We start from the raw sequence: 19832 nt of genomic DNA, 5'->3' as shown, positions 1-19832 counted from the left end.
CCCAGGCTGGGAGTGAAAGTGGCACAATCATAGCTCATTGCAGCCTCAAACTCCTGGGCTCAAGGGATCCTCCCACCTCAGCCTCCCAAGTAGTAAGGACTACAGGCACATGCCACCATGTCTGACTAATTTATATACATATATAATATGTATATGTATAATATATATACATATATAATATGTATATGTATAATATATATACATATATATTATATATATTATATACATATATACTATACATATACTATATATATTATATATATATTATATATGTATATATACATATATATACATATATAATATATATAATTTTTTTAAGAGATGGGATCTCATTATGTTGTCCAGTCTGGTCTAGAACTCCTGGCCTCAAGCGATCCCCCGCTTTGGCCTCCCAAAATAGAGATGACAGGCATGAGCCACTGTCCCCGACCTAAATGAGGTTTTTTAACAGAAAAAAAAAATGTATTAATGAAGTACCTGACTCATTACTTTTTTCATTGACATTACATTTAACTTCCAACAAAGTTCCCTCCCCAACTTTTTCTCTATTTTTTTATTTTAACCAATTGTCAATATCCAAATTATAAAAGTGATAATTATCTTGACAGACTGTAAAAATATGAGTTTCACATTAAACTTACTTGTTCTTTATTTGGAAGAAAGCACTGGTGAGAAATCCAAGCAAAGTGAGCTAGTTTTAGTTTATCTTCCCAGGAAGTTGTCTTGCTTTTAAGCTTAAGGGAAATGCCAGAATAAACAGCAGCCATGGCTAGGCTTTATCTAAAATTTAAAAACAATGGGAAAAAAAATACTATAACAATGTCAGACTGAGCAGGCACCAGAAAACCAACAGTATTGCAGTACTGTATCTTGTTTACCTAATATGTATTCTTTTAAAAGTTTTTAATGAATCAACAGATTTGTCGGGGTAAATCTACATACAAGATGCTTGACTCCAGAATTTTCTGGGGGAAATTCAGACAAAAGCAAGCAAAAGATGGACTGCACACACAGAAGATGGACTATATGTATTCCAGCTATGATCAAACATCACTTCCACAAAGGTGAGTGTTCAGGAATTCAACAAGGCCAAAATCAGTGATTACATTACTTGTGGAAAGAGTCATTCATACATGGTTTCAAATTGAAAGAGGAAAAGATACATAAGCAATATCCGGAGAAAGTAATATGTCTCCAAGTGAAAAAGAAAACCCCAAAGGAATACAGTTATTTCAGCTGCAACAGTAACCTTCCACTAACACTTTTATTCAGTCGTGTATAAATTTACAACGCACATACACTTCAAAAAAGACTCTACAAGAGATACTTGCACAAGGAAAAGACTAAAAATAGAAAACAAAAAACCATGAAATCTCGGGGGTAGCAAACATACCAAACACCTACAGTTACTATTAAACTGGGTAAACTTGGCTTTGAGTTTCCTAAAAGTTATAGTAAAAAGGAACGTTAAGACGTTTTCATTTTAGAAATTAAGTTATCCTTCACTCTACTGCAGAGAACAAGAACGTCAAGTGCTGTCAGTTTTCCTATTTTGTCAAAATGTCCAAAACGAATTCAACGATGCCTGACTTTCTAAGTTCAATACCATAGAACCGCCATCGCGACAGCTACAAAGTGCATAACAGGTGTTTGCTGAACTGGCTACAAAGACAACCGAGATGCTCTCCCCGGCTCCGCCAGAGTTCGGCTCTCCGGGCCTCCAACCGCCCTTACCGGGCAATGCGAAGTCCAGGGCGGACAGCACAGCCCTGCCAGCACTCCCTGCCCAGCAGAAAGAGACCAAGCAACAAGAACCAGGGGAGAGCAGCTAGGAGCCAGGAGGGAGTTCGCCTTCGCGAATGGAGCGTGCCGAAGCCGCTCCAGCCCAGAGTCTGCTGGCGGCACCGGAACTGGGCAGGGTTGGGGGGCCCCCCATCTGGGCCCGGCCTTAGGTAGGGGGATCTCCTCTGGACCAGCCCCGGGTGGGGGGACTCACCTCGGGACCTGGCTGCCCGCAGGGGCTGACCGCAGGTGGGGGACTCACCTCGGGATCCGGCCCGGTAGGGGGCTCAGCTCGAGACAGCTCCGGGTAGACAGGGGAGGACGGCGGCAGCGGCGGCGGCTGCTGTCCCGGTGCGGCGGAGGCCGCTGTACGGGTCCCGCGTCCCCACCACGTGGGACCGGTACCCGCGCTCCTTCCGCCGGACGCCGGCGGCGCAGCGGGGAGGGGCTGCACGCACGCCAGGCGTCGCCAGCCGAGCGCCGAGGCGCCTCGCCCATTGGCGGAGACGGTTGCGCGTTGGAGGCCCGAGCGGCCCAGCCCGCGGCCCGCTCCGTGTCAGTCAGTCATGGAGCGGCCGCCCAGAGCGGCGGCGGGGGCGGCGGGGCGCGGGGCGCGGGGGCCCAGCTGAGCCGGCCGTCGGAGTGAGACCCTGCGGCAGAGACGACGGAGGCGGAAGCAACCCGATCCCGGAGGCGGCGGCGGCGGGGGGAGCCGGAGCCGCCTGGGATGTTCAGTGAGTGCCGGGAGCACGGGCGGGGAGGGCCGGGAGGGTCGCGAGGCGCGCGCGCGCGCGGGCGGGCGGGGGCCGGGGCGGTGGGGCCTCGGCGGGGCGCGCCTTGGCTCCCGCCGGCGGGCGGTGGGGGTGGGGCGCGGGAGGCGGGGCTGGGGGGCGGCGGGCGGCTCTGCGCGGGCGCGACGGCCGCGCCTCCGCCCTCGGCCTCCCGAGTCCCGGGCTGCGGCCGGCGGCGTGGCCTGCAGTCGGCGGCTACACCTGGACTGGCGTCGCGTTCCTGCGCAGGGGTGGGTCCTGCGGGTTGGATGCCGGGCTCGGGGAGGAGGTGGCGGGCGCCCGCGGGGAAGGTATCCCAGTGCCCGACAGCCAAGCAGGGAGCACGGCTCCACAGCTCCTTTGCATGTAGGGGAAAAGGAAATGTCTTTGCGGCGAAGTCGGGATTCAACTTTGCACATGGTGATCGTGCGTGGGTGGGTGTGGAGTCGATCTCCGCGTGTGACACGGGGGAGCCAGAGTTAGACTAGCTGCTGCAGGAGAGTGCTTACCTGCAAGGGTGTCTCTCGGGGCTCGTTGCCTCATGACAGCAAGGTAAGGTTGGTGCGCCCATGGTGTGGGACGGGTTCACCACCTCCAGCTCGCGAAGCTGCCAGGCTTTTGAAAATGTATTCGATAAGGCGTTGGTCCGAAGTGAGTGGATGGTTAGAAACAGTGGTGTCATTTTAGACTTAGCGGAAGTGGAGTGCAGGAACGCTACATGCAGTTCTCCCATCAGTTGTGAAAGTCGTTGTAATGCGGATCTCGCAGTCTTTGTGGTTCTGGGATCAGAAGGTAAGTGCCAGTCCCATGCAGTGTCTGTCTTAAATTACTGTACCTAAACTGACCTTGCAGATTGGAATCTCGGAATGGTGACTCCTGCTAACAAGCAGTTGGGAGCTGTGCTGAGAGGAACATTAAGTGCGGAGCGTGTCTTATATCAGGCGATTCAAGTGTGCCAACACCTGAGTTGGGGATGTAGGGGAGGACACGGAGGCTGTGCCCCAGTTCCTGGTCACAGCTCTACTTGGAAGGGGGAGTAGGAAAGGGAGTTTTGTGCTTAATAGGTTAAATGCATCTGGCCACATCTTTAAACTTTGGAACAGCATAATGTAGTGGATAGAGCTTGGTGACAGTAGACCTAGGATGGAAACCATGTAGCCATCTGCATAACCTCTCTGAACTGTAGTTTCCTCATCTATAAAATGCGATGATAAGGAATAACTTAAACGTGGATTTTTTTTTATCTTTAAGAGACAGGGTGCCTCTATGTTGCCCAGGCCTGGGCTCAAGCAGTCCTCCCGCCTCAGCCTCCCAAAAAACGACCTTTTTAAAGGTACCCAGAAAAAGAATGATGTGTATGAAAATAGCTAAATGTTAGCTATTATCGTTTCCTTTTTGGCAAAATACCTTCTAGGTTCCCTGTAGTCCTAAGTTTTTGCGTTAAATGGAATATATGCTAATTTTTTAATGAATCGTAAATTCTTCCTGCCTTAAAAATCAGCGCTAAGCTAGAAAATTAAAAGGTGGGCTTGTTTTGAGTATTTTTCTTTGTCATCAACAACAAATTAAATTAGTGTATCTTGGAATAGTTTTGTTGCTCCTGCCTGTAAATGTGAGGCTTATGTGAGCTTCTGTCACTGTGAAACTAGGTAAAGGCCTCACTTAACTACTCAGTAACTGGTTTTTGGTTTTGCAAGCAATATATTAGCACCTGTGAAGGACATCTCTGGGGAAAGAAAGGGGGTTTTGTTTCTGCTAATTTGTTTTGCTGGAAGGGAGCTCTAGGGGTCATCTGTTAAACCAGTATTACTCAGTGGACAGTACTAGAAGTCACGTTTCCAGCCTGTCTTGTATGTGACTGGTGGCTTCTCAGGTAGTAAGTGTTCTGATCATTCTCTCAGCAAGCTTCTAGTAAGCATTCATTGTTGTGCTCCCTCAGGAAGCCCCTGGTCACATGTAGAATCCTTTGAGCAGCAAGATGCTGTAGAAGGTGAGAGCTCAGACCCTTCAGCCAGGTGTCCTGAGTTCCCATCCTGGCACTGTGTAACTTCTTTGCGCCTCAGCTTTCCCATCTGAAGAACGTTACCTACCTCATAGGTTTGTTGTGAGCTTAAAGAAGGCAGTCTATGTAAAGCACTTAATTTTAAATGCTTTAAGTGTCTTAGCGTCGAGTATGCTCAGTGTTAAGTATTCGTAGTGGTAGTGTATGAAACAGACAAGAATAGGGTAAGTTCTGTGACAGATTTGTTCCTGGGTTCGTGTGTGGAAGGGATTGTGATCAAGGAAGCTTTTGGGAGGAAGACATGGCTAAGCTGAGCTGCGAAGTGCGGGTGGGATTTAGCCAAACCAGGTTGTAGTGCCAGTGTGGCAGTGCCTCCAACTACTGGAGGGCCCCTGAGGGGAGAAGGTGGAGTGGGACCCACCAGTAGAGTAAGAAGAACCAAGGATTGGTCCAGTGAGGTAAACAGGCAGATTAGAGCAACCTGGAAATGACACAGTAGACACTCAATTTTTCTATCCTTCACACTAGTGGAGGCAGTAGAAAGTATTTTGTTTTGTTTTGTTTTGTTTTTGGAGACGGAGTTCCACTCTTGTTGCCCAGGCTGGAGTGCAATGGCGTGATCTTGGCTCACTGCAACCTCCGCCTTCCGGGTTCAAGCGATTCTCCTGCCTCAGCCTCCCCAGTACCTGGGACTACAGGCATGCACCACCATGCCTGGCTAATTTTTGTATTAGTGGAGATGGGATTTCACCATGTTGACCAGGCTGGTCTTGAACTCCTGACCTCGGGTGATCCACCCACCTCAGCCTCCCAAAGTGCTGAGATTACAGGCCCGAGCCACCGTGCCCGGCGGCAGTAAATGTTTTTAAGCTTAGCAGAGATAACATCAGATTAGCTCCTTGGAAAGATTGTGCCTATAGTAGTATAGTATTATGTTTAAAGTAGGGCCAGGTGTGGTGGCTCATGCCGATAATCCCAGCACTTTCGGAGGATCACTTGAGCACAGGAGTTTGAGATCAACCTGGGCAGCGTAGTGAGACTCCGTCTCTACAAAAAAAAATTTTTTTTTTAACTAACCAGGTGTGATGGTGGGCATGCCTGTAGCCCCAGCTGCTGAGGAGGCTGACTCAGGAAGATCTTTGAGCTCAGTCAAGGCTGCAGTGAGCTGTGATTGTGCCACTGCACTCCAGCCTCGGTGACAGAGCAAGACCTTATTTCAAAATTAAAAAGAAAGACTTTTATTTTTATTTTATTTTACTTTTATTTTTTATTAAGATAAAGTCTTGGCAGTTCCCTATCTGCCCGTGATTTCAAAAGGAAAATGGTAGTAGAGTTGGGCATTTTATTCCAAATCTCAAAGCTTAGACAGCACTTACAGAAAGCATGAAGAAACCAGGCAGCCTTCCCTCTTAAAAATTATCTTCAAGTATGTATTGTATATGCTTGATCACAAGCAAGGTTTTCCCCCAAAAGTCTCATGTTTGGGGCTCCCCTGTTACAGGGCACTCTTTCTCAGTCTATTTTGAACAACAAGGTGCTGTTTGGGAAGGACATAATGGGCTGGAACAACTGGAGCAACCTCAGCTGGTGCTAGTTTGGGATATTTATTCAATCTTACCAAATAAGTGAAACAAAAAAATAGGAAAGATTCAGTCATTAAGTCATTCTTCCTGATGGGGGTGGGGGGTATCACAAAGTGCAAGTGTTAAATGCAAAACATAATGTATGTATAATATATATACACACACATATCTGTATATCTATATATATCTATCTGTATAGATAGATAGATAGATAGATAGATAGATAGATAGATAGATAGATAGATGATGATGAATGAAAAGAAGTTCTGCTCACCCGAACAGGCATTGATGGCTTGGGTTGAGATTTCCAGCAGGAGTATATGGATTTAAGACGTGCTTTATTGTAACTGATTTAGTAGATGGGAAAGGTAAAGTGCTCTGGAAATGGAATTTGATGATTCATAGTGGCTTAATTCATCACAGACACTGGTGTTTAAGATATTCATGAACAGTTGGAGTGAATTTCTTTAGTGAATTAATATATTGCCTTATATATTTTAGATATGTGTAAATTAATAGAGATTATAGTTAGACATTTGATTTTCATCTGTAACCCTCAGAGTTTCTCTTTTTTTAAATTAAAGTTGACTAAAATGTTTTCTTTTTAATTTTCTTATTGGTATGGTAAGGTAGTCATAGGTTTGGGCTTACCTTTTAGTTGGACATTTTACAGAAAGAAATTAGCTGCTGTTTCTCCACTGAAGCAAATTGTCTTTTTCCTTCCTATTTTTTAATTTACAGAAGATTTGAAGAGTGTTGTATATTGTCAGTGTTTAGAAAACACTATAAAATACTTCCATTTATAATTGTTTAGTAGTCAAAGAAGATATCCTCCCAGTAAGGTGTATCAAGGTGGATGGGTATGTTAATAACTTCACAATGTTTGGCAATAATAAAAGGTAGCTGTGTTTTTAAAACAAAATACTAACTTTTGGAGACTTTGTCATTAGTAAGCAGAAGTGTTATGCAAAACTTTGTGAATTAACTTTTTTAAGCCAAGATGCTGATGCATTAGTTTCACCAGGTAATGTCATTCTGTAGAACTCTGTTGTCCAATACAGTAATCATTGGCCACTTATGACTACTTAAATTAAAATTAGTTAAAACAATTCAGTTCCTTAGTTGCACTAGTCATATTTTCATTGCCCAATTGCCCTGTGTGGCCAGTGACTACTGTTGTGAACAGTGCAGACTTACAACACCTCCGTCGTTTGCCAAAAGTCCTCTTGGACAGTACTGCTCTGGAATGAAAAATTGAAGATCATTCCATCCACTTTGAGACACACACACACACACACACACACACATAAATGTTTTAATGAAGCGTCTTCAAATCCTCATGTACTGCATTTGAATTCAGTTTCAGGAACAGTGATAAGCATGGGAAAACGTCTTATCCCTTATTTTGAGAACAGGACATCCTATTTCTGTCTGCAGTGGTGTTTGCAAATAGAGCATTTGTGAAAGTTTTCTTTATGTAGTCAAGCATAGTAAGTAATGTAAAGAGCCATTCTGTAGATTGTGCCACACTCTTCCATGTTAATAAGATTTTGTATAGAAAAGCAGTTTTTCTGTGCTGTAAAACAGTATTAAAGTAGAAATTCAAAAAGATCACGAGCTTAAAATAAACTCTCAAGAATTCCAAGAAGCTAGATAGCACTCACGTTATTTTTATGATGAGTTTCAAAGATAAGGCCTGTCCTCAGGGAACTCTCCATCTGTTTAGGGGAACTGAGGAAGAGTGATGGCAAGAGGGGACAACCTGCATGAGGGTTGGGGTGATTTAGGCTTGGTTGTAACATCATTAGATTTGTCATGTACTTTGGCTGCTTTTCAAAGGGCCATATGAGGAGGGCCTAAAGGTGGAAGAATATTGGAATAGTCCAGTTGAGAAGTGATTTGTAGAGTCGGGCATAGTGGCATACACCTGTAATCCTAGCTACCTGGGAGGCTGAGCTGGGAGGATCATGAGCCCAGAGGATGGAGACCAGCCTGGGCAATATAGCCAGACCACTTCTCTAAAGAGAGCGAGAAGCAATTTGTGCTGTCAAATAGCAAACAGTCAAGATGGGGTAGCAGAAATGGTTGAGTTGCACTAGCCGCAATTTTTTTTTTTTAAGTTGAGAGAGAATTCCCATTTAGAATAGGAGTTGGTGGCCTCTTTGAAGTAAGGGAGAGAGAGAACAGAATTTTATCATGACTGGCTTTTTGGTTGTTTTGTTTTCTTTTGTTTTGTTTTTGCTTTAATGGTGGATAGTGGCACCATTAAGCCGGCTAAGAAAACCGGGAGAAGGAAGAGGTATTGCAGGTGGAAATGTCTGTTAATTGACTGAGTTGAGGAAGGTGGTCTGACTGTAAGTCTTGCATGGTGGTGTGGTGAAGCCGGGAATGTGAAGAAGCAGTGGCAGACAGTAATGGGAGGGCAGAGCCACAAGAGAGGCTTGCAGTGGGAGGGACCAAGAGAGTTTCAAGTAGGAGGTGAGTTCAGCAGCATCACATCCAGCTGAGAGATCGTGAAGGGTGGTGCTGGAAAGTGACTGGTTAGATCAAAAAGTTAAGGAATCCCAAGTCTCAGTAGCCCACTGAGGTCAGAAGCAGGGTCAGCTGGCTGGGTGAGGAGACTGGTGAAGGTTTAGAATAGCGTAGGTGGAAGGCTGTAGGGTAAGTAGTTGATGAAACAAGACTTCTGGAACATCATGGAGGTCCCAGCTGATGTTGGAGAAAATCTACTTCTCATGACATCTGTTTGCTGGATTTCGTGATTTCCACCTACTTTCTACCACTGCTGCCATCCCCACCAAAACGCCACATTCTTCACTGCGTCCTGAGCCCAGCTACGGCCTTATCCATGTGCCATTTTATTTCTTAGGACACCATGGGAAAAAACACAGCTTCTAGTTCAAGTGTATTTATGTCAGTCTGAGCAAAGATTGAATATGAAAGGCTATCATAATTTTTAAATTATATGAGGTATGACTGAAACTGAAAGTAGTATGGCTCATTTATTTTTCAGTTGTGATTTATATTTTCACAAAGCTTATTGAATACACTTTATCATGATGATTAATGCAAAGCTAGGGCTTTAGGTCCTACTTAGACTGATCTTTTGATGTTACAACCATTTAGTTGCTGTGAGTGAAGAGAACTAATAACTTGAGTTACCTAGTAGACACTTTACAAAAAAATGCAAAAAAATAATTTTTTTCTTCTGTTATAAACATAAATTTGCCATTGGAAAAAAGATACAATTACTCAAAAGCCAACAGTCAGAAGTCTCAGTTGAAGAGCTGATTTGAGGATTGTGTAGTGAGTTTGCCTGAATTTATCTTGAACTCACCCCTACTCAAAACTGCCACCTTATTGGGGCAGGGGGAGGGATGGGGGAGCCAGGTAGTACTCTTTTGGCATTTCGTGGAACTGTGTAGTACTTTAACCTGTGATATGGTGGATGAGGGTGCCTCCCAGCCCTCCTCTACCGACCGTGTACATTAGAGCCTAACGGGGGTGGGGGTGGAGGGATAGGATGCAGCGTGTAACCACTGAAGGGATTGACCAGACTAGAGTTCCACACTGACAGCATCTTAAGAGGATGCCTGGGTTCCATGTATCTCCACCTCCCCATGTTTCTGTAGTTGAATGTTAAGTGTGGCTGTGGTTTTCCCTGCAGAGTTGTTACATTGAAATGATCATGTGGGATTTTATATAGCAACTTGGTTGAAGTATCTGGCAACTGTTGATACATGAGAATAGATATACATTGTGTCAAAATCCTCCAGAAATTTTTGATTTCCAGAAATACCAATCTGGCAACTGTTGATACATGAGAATAGATATACATTGTGTCAAAATCCTCCAGAAATTTTTGATTTCCAGAAATATCAATAATGTGATATGAAGAGCAGAGTATTTGACATCTGTTTTTACCTCTGAAAGTTAAGTATTTTATATAAATTGAAAATGATGAGAAATTCTGAAATGTTAACAAAGAGTATAATTATATTTAAATCCAATTTCAGTTTGAAAGATTTTATAATTATAGGAAAAGCTAGGCAGGTAACGAAACTGCACTGTTCGTCTCATGTATGAGTCTCTCCAGAGACTTAGGTCTAGTTTAAGGAGAGTTTTTTTTCTTCACTTGTCCCTTTTTGGATATTAGTACTCTGGAAATCAGTCTGGGTGGAGGGGACCGATTTATCTCAGGTTCATTAATTATCCATGTCACTTGAAATATATGTACATTGGAATAAAACCCAGCTGAGTTGATTGGGTCGTGTCTCTAGTATTTGAGTTTAGCGTGGTTATGCAAGAGAGTCATTGCCAGAATTCCTGCCCTTAAGATCCATGGCCATACAGTTGATTCACCACCCACCCTCAGGGAAGCGCCCTTATCATAAATGGTAGTTTGGACTCAGAGAAATTGCTATTTGGGGCAGCTAATTTAAGCATATTTGTTAGAATCAGTATTACAGACTAGTTTCTAGCAATCTTAAATATGGTCAGTGTTGACTATCATTCATTCTTACTCCGTTCTGTTTACTCTTTCCTAACTTCACATCTTTTCCCTTCCTCCTCAGACACATAGGTATATTGTCGCACCTTGAGGACACTGTGTCATTGCAGAGCCTGTTCTCCAGATCAGTCATTCACATGTCTTTCACATGCAGAGTTTTTTCCTGTCAGAGGTGATCTAAGAGATCGAGGCCCATCTGCCTGGAATGCTCACGGATGTGCATCAATATTTGCATGCATTCCCAAGTCAGCAAAAGATCGGCAGTGTGGAAGCCGGAAAGATTTCAGTCTCAGCTAGAGTAGGGAATTGGGCTGCTTTGGGAAAGCCCGCAGAGTAGGAGATCTTGAAGTTAGATGAAAAGCAGCTGTAGCAAGTGATAGGAAGAGGCACTGGTTGGATTGACTCGTCTTGACTTTGGGCCACACGGGAAAGGACAGTACTGTCACAGCCTCCGTGTGCATTTAACTTTTTTACTCTAAATATAACACAACCAGAATCTGCAGGGCTGAAATTATTTATATACATATCCACACACTCATGGGATTCTTATGTATAGCCAGGTTGGAGGATCACTGATAGAGCAGTGCTGATCAGTGGCCACAGAGAATGGGAGCAGGGACCCCACTCTCAGAGTATCAGAATCCCTGTATTAGCAATTTAAAAAAACAGCTTAATTAAAAAGTAACCTAAGTCATCAATACAGTGAGAGAATAATACACCATACCCAAGCAAGGTAAATTTCATAGTGAGAAGAGAGTTCAGTATTTGGAAATTTATTATTGTGTTTCATTATGTCACTGATTCACAACCATAGTGTTCCTTCTTTTTAACAATCACACACCTAGTACCCCTTCTTTGTAACAAATATTTTGAACTCTTTGGCAACCTAGAAATAAAATGCACAGATAATGTAATCTTTCTGGGCATATAGTTTAATATATATATAATGTCCTAACATTTTATATTTACATGTATATATACTTGTGAGTATGTCTCTAGCCTTCACAGTTTGCTCTGTTGTATGACTTGTAGGGAATTGAAAAGTAGGTCTTCAGAGTATATTTTTAAAGGGCTCCCACAAATCAGTTTAGAAGGAAATAATTACTTGCAAATGGTATTGGGACAGTGTGTTAGCTACAGTCACTGGGCAAAACATTTGTTTGGTTATTCACCACACATACACTAAAAGAAACTGCAGATGGACGAAAATTAGATACAAATAATTTTTTTATGTTTAAAGAAAAATAAGACCAGGCATGGTAGCTCATGCCTGTAATCCCAACAATTTGGGAGACTAAGGAAGGAGAATTGCTTAAGCCCAGGAGTTTGAGACCACCCTGGACAACATAGCAAAACCCCTTCTCTACTAAAAAAAAAAATATAAATAAATAAATAGACTTCCGGAAAAGGTGGAATTTTACATCTTAAAAAAGAATGGAAGAGCAGGCACGGTGGTTCGCACCTGTAATCCCAGCACTTTGAGAGGCCAAGGCAGGCAAGTCACTTGAGGTCAGGAGTTCGAGACCAGCCTGGCCAACATGGTGAAACCCCATCTCTACTAAAAATTTAATAATTAGCCAAGTGTGGTAGCGTGGGCCTGTAATCCCAGCTACTCGGGAGTCTAAGGCAGGGAATCACTTGAACCCAGGAGGTGGAGGCTGCAGTGAGCTGAGATCATGCCATTGCACTCCAGTCTGGGTGACAGAGCAAGACACTGTCTCAAAAAAAATAAAACAAAATGAAAGAATGGTAGAACTCTCAAAGGAAAATACTAATGCATGTAACTGAAACTGAGAACTTAAAACACATCCAAATAAATGATCAAAAACAGATCTCCCACACAAAACAACTGGGAAACCTTGATTTAGAGAATGTTACTTTGGTTGGGATGATTGTGTGTGTATGCGTACATGAAATGCATTCCAAAATGGACACAATATTTTGGTCCTGGAGGGGAAAGTATGTTTTACATGACAGAAGTGAACCCCAAAATTCATCCAGCTGTCATTGGTCATCTGGACTGCAGTATTTATTTCTGGCAAAGTAGTGTTTGAGGCCATGGCAATACTAGGGGTTCCTGTCATTGTTGATAATAAACTCAATAGTCAAAGGAAACAGTGCCTCTTTTTTTTTTTTCTTTTTCCCTTTTCTTTTTATTTTTGTGAACCTACAAATTAGCTTGAATTATTCAAAAATAATTTACTTCTGTTCAGGTCACTTCCTACCACTTTCCTTTCTTACAGGAATTTATGAGACATATGCTAACACATATACATACCCTCTTAGTGTTGTGCTGCCTTTCTATACCTGTGGTTTAAATAAAGAGCAAAAAAGGTAAATAATATTATACAATTAAAATGAAAACACGGCCAGGCGCGGTGGCTCACGCCTGTAATCCCAGCACTTTGAGAGGCCAAGCCGGGCAGATCACAATGTCAGGAGATTGAGACCATCCTGGCTAACACGGTGAAACCCCGTCTCTACTAAAAATACAAAAAATTAGCTGGGCGTGGTGGTGGGTGCCTGTAGTCCCAGCTACTTGGGAGGCTGAGACAGGAGAATGGCGTGAACCCAGGAGGCAGAGCTTGCAGTGAGCTGAGATCGCACCAATGCACTCCAGCCTGGGCGACAGAGCGAGACTCTGTCTCAAAATAAATAAATAAATAAAATGAAATAAAATAAAATGAAAACACATTTTGCAAATCCCTAACTTAGAGCTGGCAGTCTTTTCCTGGCTATTAAGCAAAAATATCACAATCCCCTTCACCATTGTTAACTTCATGCTTTGTTAACATCTATTTATCCAGTTTCTGTGGTCTTTGATTTGGCACTGCCTCCTGCCTGCTTTTTTGGCTAGTTCACTGCTAATTAACGCCTCTCTCACAGAGTAGGCAGGAGAAATCAAAGGCCCTAAATTTCAGACTGGCCCTGTTTGCTCTTTGTTAGCTTCTCTAATGAAAAGTTTCATGGGGCTGATTGGAATCTTGGTATTAAACAGAGTTTGGGGGTGATCTAAGGACTTTATTATCGATGCTTTTCCTATTTTCTGTAATTGAAGTTGGCTGTATTGTCATTGGAGAAACAGACAAAATGGAAGAGTATACCACGTTGGTATTAGGGAACTTAGATTTGCGTCTTAACTAGGCCACTTAGCCACATGGCTGGTCTTTCTCTCCCATGTGTCCTACCCATCTGCGATGGTGCAGTTAGATAGGTTGCTCTCCCAGGCCCCTGATGTCTCTGTATCCTGTCGTTGCCTCCCTTGAAGGTCATGAAACGAGTGCGTACCGAGCAGATTCAGATGGCAGTGTCCTGCTACCTCAAACGCCGGCAGTACGTGGACTCAGATGGTCCCCTGAAGCAAGGACTGCGGCTGTCACAGACTGCTGAAGAGATGGCGGCCAATCTAACAGGTAATGGTGGGGGCTCGTCTGGTGGGGTGAGCCTGGAGCAGGAGAACTCACGTCAATATCCATGTGGAATTACTTCTCCTCTTCTCAAGACAGTGCCAGAGAGAGCAGACTGACCAAAAACCTCAGTGAGCTACGTTAAGTGAATGATGTTGGCCTCAGAGACCCTGTCTGTCATTTAGAGCGGTGCTCACATTGTCACTTCTGATAACCTCTGTGATTCCCCTGGCTAAAGTCATTTCCTTCCTCAGGACTTCTCAGTTACTTTATCTGTACCTGAAAGTACGTGCAACTTTTTCCTTCTGTAAACAATTAACCTACAAGACCCTTAGGGACAGGGTCTCCCTCTGTCCCCTTCTTGCACAGGTCCCCTCTCCTCCAGCATGGAGCCTCACATGTAGAAGTCAGGTTTGTTGAATAAATTGGTACTTCAGGATCTGTAGTTGGAAATATTATTATTATTATAGACACATTCCTGAAGTTTTTTTAATTTGTTTTTGTTTTTTAATGTTTTGAAATCCGATTCTATTTTAGAAAAACTTGAGTTGACTCCATCTGGATTAATAAGTATAGTCATCCCTCAGTATCCATAAAGGATTGGTTCCAGGACCCCTCCATGAATACCAAAATCCACGGATACTCAAGTTCCTGCCTGATAAGATGTGGTATAATATTTGGCATAGCAGGTTACATCTACAGACATCCTCCTGTATTCTTTAAATTGTCTTTAGATTACTTATAATTCCTAATACAGCCTACATATCACCTCATTCACATGGATTCATCATAGTATTCAGCACCTGGTAAATTCAAAATTTGCTTCTTGGGACTTTGGTGGTTTTTTTCCCCAAATATTTTTGACTTGCAGTTGTTTGAATCCATGAATGTGAAACCCACAGATACAGAGGGCCGACTGTAATTGTTAGCTATTTTGTGAGTTCATGTTTTTATGTAATATGACTTTATGACTTTCTTCTTCTTCTTCTTCTTTCTTCTTTTTTTTTTTTTTTTTTTGAGACAGAGTCTCTCTCCATCACCCAGACTGGAATGCAGTGATGCAGTCACAGCTCACTGCAGCCTCAACTTCCCAGGCTCAAGTGATCCTCCATCTCAGCCTACCAAGTAGCTTGGACCACAGTCATGCACAACCACCTGGCTAATTTTTTTTTTTTTTTGCTTGTTATTCTTGTTAGAGGTGGGGTCTTACCATGTTGTCCAGGCTAGTCATGACCTCCTGGCCTCAAGTGATCCTCCCACCTTGGCCTCCCAAAGTGCTGGGATTACAGGTGTGAGCCACTGTGTAACAGGACTTTCTTTTACTGAACTTATTTACTAGTGATTCTGGGGGAAAAAAATTGCTGGGATACTTTAGGGTGATTATAAACTACTTCAATGGCTGTGTGTGGAGGTGGAGTTAGCAGTGATTTCTGCAGCTCAGCCCTGGTTCCCTTTCTTATATGCTCAGGCTACATTCTTCTCTCTTCTTTGTTCCTGGGCTTTCTGTGATCTTCCAAATATCTTTCACCACGTGCTCCATTTCTTAATGGTTTCATCCTCCATCCTAGTAGCCGCAGTTACCTCAGCTCCCTCTTTTCATATACCTTCAAAGTCAAGGACCCAGGGTTCATTGCCATAGGAAGAGAGTGCTAGGACAGTAACAACCTGAGGATGCTCTCAAAGGAGTGGTTCCTGACTTCCTCTGAAACACTAACAGAAGCCCAGTCAGCAGCCTGCCATCACGTATTTCAGGGTTGGATCCACCCATTATTCCTTGCCTTCAAACTCCTCAGAGATACCCTTGACCAAAACAGGGCCAGATGATGGCCTTGGTATAGAATACTAAGTGCCTTATTGTTTGAATAGGGGAGTCCATTTACAAGGCCTCTGTCCCATTGTAGAGTAATTCCTTCTGAACATGCCATCCTAGCCATTTAAAAAATCTGCTGCCCTGCATCCTTTGGAACCAGAGAGCAGTAATTCTTGCTGTTGTTGATAGAAAGTAGGAATGAACAATATTAAACAGACTTCCAGAACTTTGCTCGTCTAAGTTGTCTTAGTTTCAATAGAATAGCTTATTAGGAGAAAGTGTTATTGCTGGAAAACCACCAGGAAAAGTGAGAAACATGAAATATGATTATCAGAAGATTTTGTCCTAGATTTTTCCATTAATTGAGTAATCTGAAGAATTCTTTTTTCAGCAGACATTTAGTGAACATCTGCTATAGGCCAAGTGCTGAAAAGTTCTAGAGATAGCTACGATTTGACCCTAGCTCTGAGAAGCTAAGTGTTCTAATTGGGAAGTGAGGCAGGTAAGTCAGTGATTGTAGAAGAGCATGAGGTAGTAAGTTCTGTGAGGGGGAGGTTCAGTGGTAGCAGAAAAGATCATCCAAATTAGGCTGGCAAGCCAAGGAAGGATCCCCAAAAGGCCTTGTGATTCCTGACATATAGTTGGGGGTCACTAAATAGTTGAAAGAGTGAGCTGAGTTGCAAAGGAACCATTAGATGTTTACCAGGGAACAAATTGGAGGAGGGTATCCAGGTTTTCAAATGTGAATTTTAGAAAACTCAGTCTGGTGGCAGTATTGATAAGGCAGCCCAGATTAGAATCGAGGAAACTAGTTAAAAGACGCAGTCCAGTGAGAAGTGAGGACAGCCTCAGTTGAGGAAGTGGTAATGGGAGTGGAGAGGAGAGGATATATTTTAGGAATCTGTAGGACTTAGTGACAGAGTAACTAAGCGGGGGGCAAGAAGAAGGAGGAGGAGTCCCTCCCTTGCATGCAGGCTTGCAGCAGGTCCTCTCTTCTGACTGTCTCTTCCTTCTCCTGGAGTAGGTTGGCTTTCCTCTCACCTGTGTTTCCCTTTCTACGTATTTCCTGTTATGGCGCCCTCAGTCCTGCCACATTCATCACCATTTCTCCATCCATATTCCATTGACAAAATGCATTCATGTTTCATTCAGGACGCGGTTAAAGGTGGCTTCCCTTGGTTTTTAGCCACCTTCTTTCCCCGGTGTTCCCCACTCCTCTTGTAAACAGGAGGAGAATGGTTTTTGTTTTTTGTTTTTAGAAAGCATAAACTCACAGATTGGAGATTAAGTGTGTGTTTACATACTGAATATTGAGACTCCAGCCTTGTTTCCCCTGCACCAATTCATATGCCCGGAATACTGCAGCCAGGCACACATGCTCCAGGAAGGCAAGTAAACAATCCTTCCCTGGTGAGTCCAACTTGCCCAAGAAGAAAGACGAAAAGACAGTGATGTTGGGACATTGCTCACCCTGGTCACCCTGGAGGATGAGCCTCACCACCCAGAGTGCCTCACCGTAAGACAGCCAGGGGCCATTGAACCCTAGAAGAAACATATCTCATAAGAAGGGCAGATGGAAAGAAACAGAAGAAAACTTCAAAAATACCTTGTTTTAAATACTTAAGATTCAAAAAGCATAGCGTGTTTAGGGGAAAAGAGAATGTTGAGAATGAAAAAAGTTACCAATTAGATACATGATAGTAAAAAATAAAAACTCATTAGGTATTATAAGTAATGTAGGGGGAAATAGTAGAAGGGCTGAAGGGTGAGGAAGGCTTTCAGAAAGTAGAGCAAAAAGACAAAGAAATGGAGTAATAGGAGAAAAAAATTAAAGGATTGGTTCAGGATATCCGACCTTGAAATTGTAGGAGTCTTGGAAGATAGGGAATTATCAAAATGATTCCAGAAAACTTCACAGAACTAGAAGACATGAATTTCCAGATTGAAAGGGCCCACTAAGTGCCCAGCACAGTGATTGACAATGAACCCACACCAAGGCACCTGTGAAATGTCAGAACATAGGATCAAACATTTCCTGATGAATCTCATGGATTGATGTACCTGTCCTCTCTCATTCACCTTATCCTGTGCTTTATGCCTTTCCTTCCCTGGCCTTCATTTTATTGGGCTTCAGGAGGGAGGGGAGAGAAACAAGTGTCATCAGTCTGTCATGTTTAACCAGGACCCAGCATGCTTTGGAAACCTGCTGAAATGTCAGTTGCTGTGCGTGTGTGCACAACACCCTCCTTCACCCATCCTGCCACGTACTGGGTTAATAATCGTCTCTCTGTTTCCCGCCCTGACTTGTGTATCTTCTCCTCTTTAGTGCAATCAGAATCTGGTTGTGCCAACATAGTGTCTGCAGCCCCTTGCCAGGCAGAACCCCAGCAATATGAAGTACAGTTTGGACGACTGCGGAATTTTCTCACTGGTAAGTACTCAGCTCTAGAACCTTTTCTTTTTAAGAAAACAGAGTAATACAGACCAACTTTGGGCACACTGCTTGTGAGTTAGCCCTGCTCCACAAGGAGCGGTAAAAAGAAAAATTAAAAAATAGAGTAATGCAGATTTCCCTCAGAACCAACTATATTCCACAATTGGTTTGAGGTACTAGGGATTCGAAGGTACTCTTAACACAGTTCTTGCATTCAAACTTATGGTCTATTGGAATTCCTGAAGAGTTCAATCACGAGGTTTAAGTTTACAAGGGCAGAGCTCTGGGTGTTTATTCACTGTTTTATTCATGGCCTTCAGCACAGTGACTTGTGACTTGTATTGAATAAGTAAAAACTGTCAGCTATGCAGAGAAGCATCCTTAAATACAGCACATTTGAAATGTACATGACATCTCTACTAATAATATAGTACATTTCACAATGGTCTTTGCCCCGTATTTCCAAAAGTGCAAGTAAATAGTCCTTATGAATGAACAGGCAAAAATGCTAGAAGTTGTCATTTAGACCAGTTTTTGAGTGGCAGAATGACCACTTGAGATAAGAATAAAAAAGATACTGTAGAACATTAGGAAGAAAAACATTAAGAGCCCCAGAAGATAAATCGGAAAGGGATGTGAACATAAAAATTTACACCAGGATAACTCACTTTAGCAATCAACCGAGTGTATTAATACTTCACTGCAAAAATCATTACAGTTCTGTAGCAATAAAATTATGCCATTGAGTTTATTTTATTATACACCTATGCTTCAGTGATTAAAAAAATACAAAAATGTATGTAATGTCATTAGGGTCATCTGAGTGTCACTCATAATAGAAATAAGTCATGACCATGACAAGAGCCATCTCACTGTCATGAGTCAGAATATACCACTATTAAAATTATACATTTGGTGATTTACTTTTGTGTCTGTTTTCCTCATTAGACTATATGCTCCATGAGGGCGGGGACCATATCAATATATCTTAGGACAATATCTATCCTGGCATGTAGTCAGCACTTAACATAAATACAGGCTGAACGAATGAAGGAGACAGGCTCAAAGAAGCCAGATAATTTGCTTCTTTTTCTTTTTTTTGAGACGGTATTGTTCTGTTGCCCAGGCAGGAGTGCAGTGGCATGATCACGGCTCACTGCAGCCTTGACCTTCTGAGATCAAGTGATCCTCCCATCTCGGCCTCCTGAGTAGCTGGGACCACAAGCATGTGCCACAACACCTGGCTAATTTTTTTAAATTTTTTTGTAGAGACAGGGTCTCACTGTGTTGCCCAGGCTGGTTTCAAACTCCAGGCCTCAAGCAGTCCTCCCATCTTGGCCTCCCAAAGTGCTGAGATTGTAGGCACAAGCCACCACACCCAGCCAAGACATTTGTTTCTAAACCAGCTTCCCCACCACTAGTATGGTGAAAATAAATCTGTCATGGAGAGATTAATATCATATTTTTTTAACTGAGTAAAATAACTTTCTAAAAACTGAGTTAAATTTTTCTGCAAGTTGCTTAAAGCCTCAGA

At 43.0% G+C, this 19832-nt stretch overlaps 2 protein-coding genes across 7 annotated transcripts in view, besides 5 other annotated features; one reads left to right on the top strand and one right to left on the bottom strand.

The window, feature by feature from the left end:
* URB2 (URB2 ribosome biogenesis homolog) overlaps nucleotides 1-2154 on the bottom strand; it is a 33954-nt gene extending 31800 nt beyond the window's left edge. For 2 of the 3 annotated variants that reach the window (NM_014777.4, XM_005273360.3), the window contains exons 1-2: nucleotides 2045-2154; nucleotides 642-780 (exon numbers count right to left, since the gene is read on the bottom strand). In NM_014777.4, the coding sequence (NP_055592.2) occupies nucleotides 642-767 (126 nt within the window). In that variant the 5' untranslated portion in view covers nucleotides 768-780; nucleotides 2045-2154. Of the gene's footprint in view, nucleotides 1-641; nucleotides 812-2044 lie in introns of all 3 variants that reach the window. The other variant, NM_001314021.2, reaches the window with a different exon arrangement.
* Nucleotides 1581-1660: an enhancer, noted in NCBI's record as "active region_2706". NCBI's record gives its function as "activates an Ori minimal core promoter by ATAC-STARR-seq in GM12878 lymphoblastoid cells {active_cell/tissue: GM12878}" and the evidence as "EXISTENCE:reporter gene assay evidence [ECO:0000049][PMID:35858748]".
* Nucleotides 1851-2550: a silencer, noted in NCBI's record as "silent region_1935". NCBI's record gives its function as "represses an Ori minimal core promoter by ATAC-STARR-seq in GM12878 lymphoblastoid cells {active_cell/tissue: GM12878}" and the evidence as "EXISTENCE:reporter gene assay evidence [ECO:0000049][PMID:35858748]".
* Nucleotides 2279-19832, top strand: part of TAF5L (TATA-box binding protein associated factor 5 like) — a 32989-nt gene continuing 15435 nt past the window's right edge. For 2 of the 4 annotated variants that reach the window (NM_014409.4, NM_001025247.2), the window contains exons 1-3: nucleotides 2279-2516; nucleotides 13916-14060; nucleotides 18191-18295. In NM_014409.4, coding sequence (NP_055224.1) covers nucleotides 13919-14060; nucleotides 18191-18295 — 247 coding nt within the window. In that variant the 5' untranslated portion in view covers nucleotides 2279-2516; nucleotides 13916-13918. Of the gene's footprint in view, nucleotides 2517-2757; nucleotides 2804-13915; nucleotides 14061-18190; nucleotides 18296-19832 lie in introns of those variants that run through there. The other 2 variants (XM_005273099.5, XM_047417997.1) reach the window with 2 other exon arrangements.
* Nucleotides 2641-2830: a silencer, noted in NCBI's record as "silent region_1934". NCBI's record gives its function as "represses an Ori minimal core promoter by ATAC-STARR-seq in GM12878 lymphoblastoid cells {active_cell/tissue: GM12878}" and the evidence as "EXISTENCE:reporter gene assay evidence [ECO:0000049][PMID:35858748]".
* Nucleotides 3321-3370: an enhancer, noted in NCBI's record as "active region_2705". NCBI's record gives its function as "activates an Ori minimal core promoter by ATAC-STARR-seq in GM12878 lymphoblastoid cells {active_cell/tissue: GM12878}" and the evidence as "EXISTENCE:reporter gene assay evidence [ECO:0000049][PMID:35858748]".
* Nucleotides 4215-4765: an enhancer, noted in NCBI's record as "NANOG-H3K4me1 hESC enhancer chr1:229759383-229759933 (GRCh37/hg19 assembly coordinates)". NCBI's record gives its function as "activates a minimal SCP1, AML or CMV promoter by ChIP-STARR-seq in naive H9 embryonic stem cells {active_cell/tissue: H9 hESC(naive)}" and the evidence as "EXISTENCE:reporter gene assay evidence [ECO:0000049][PMID:30033119]".

The sequence above is a fragment of the Homo sapiens genome, chromosome 1 (genome assembly GCF_000001405.40).
Source record: "Homo sapiens chromosome 1, GRCh38.p14 Primary Assembly".
In the NCBI taxonomy this organism is placed as follows: Eukaryota; Metazoa; Chordata; class Mammalia; order Primates; family Hominidae; genus Homo; species Homo sapiens.
This window is presented reverse-complemented; position numbering and strand designations above follow the sequence as displayed.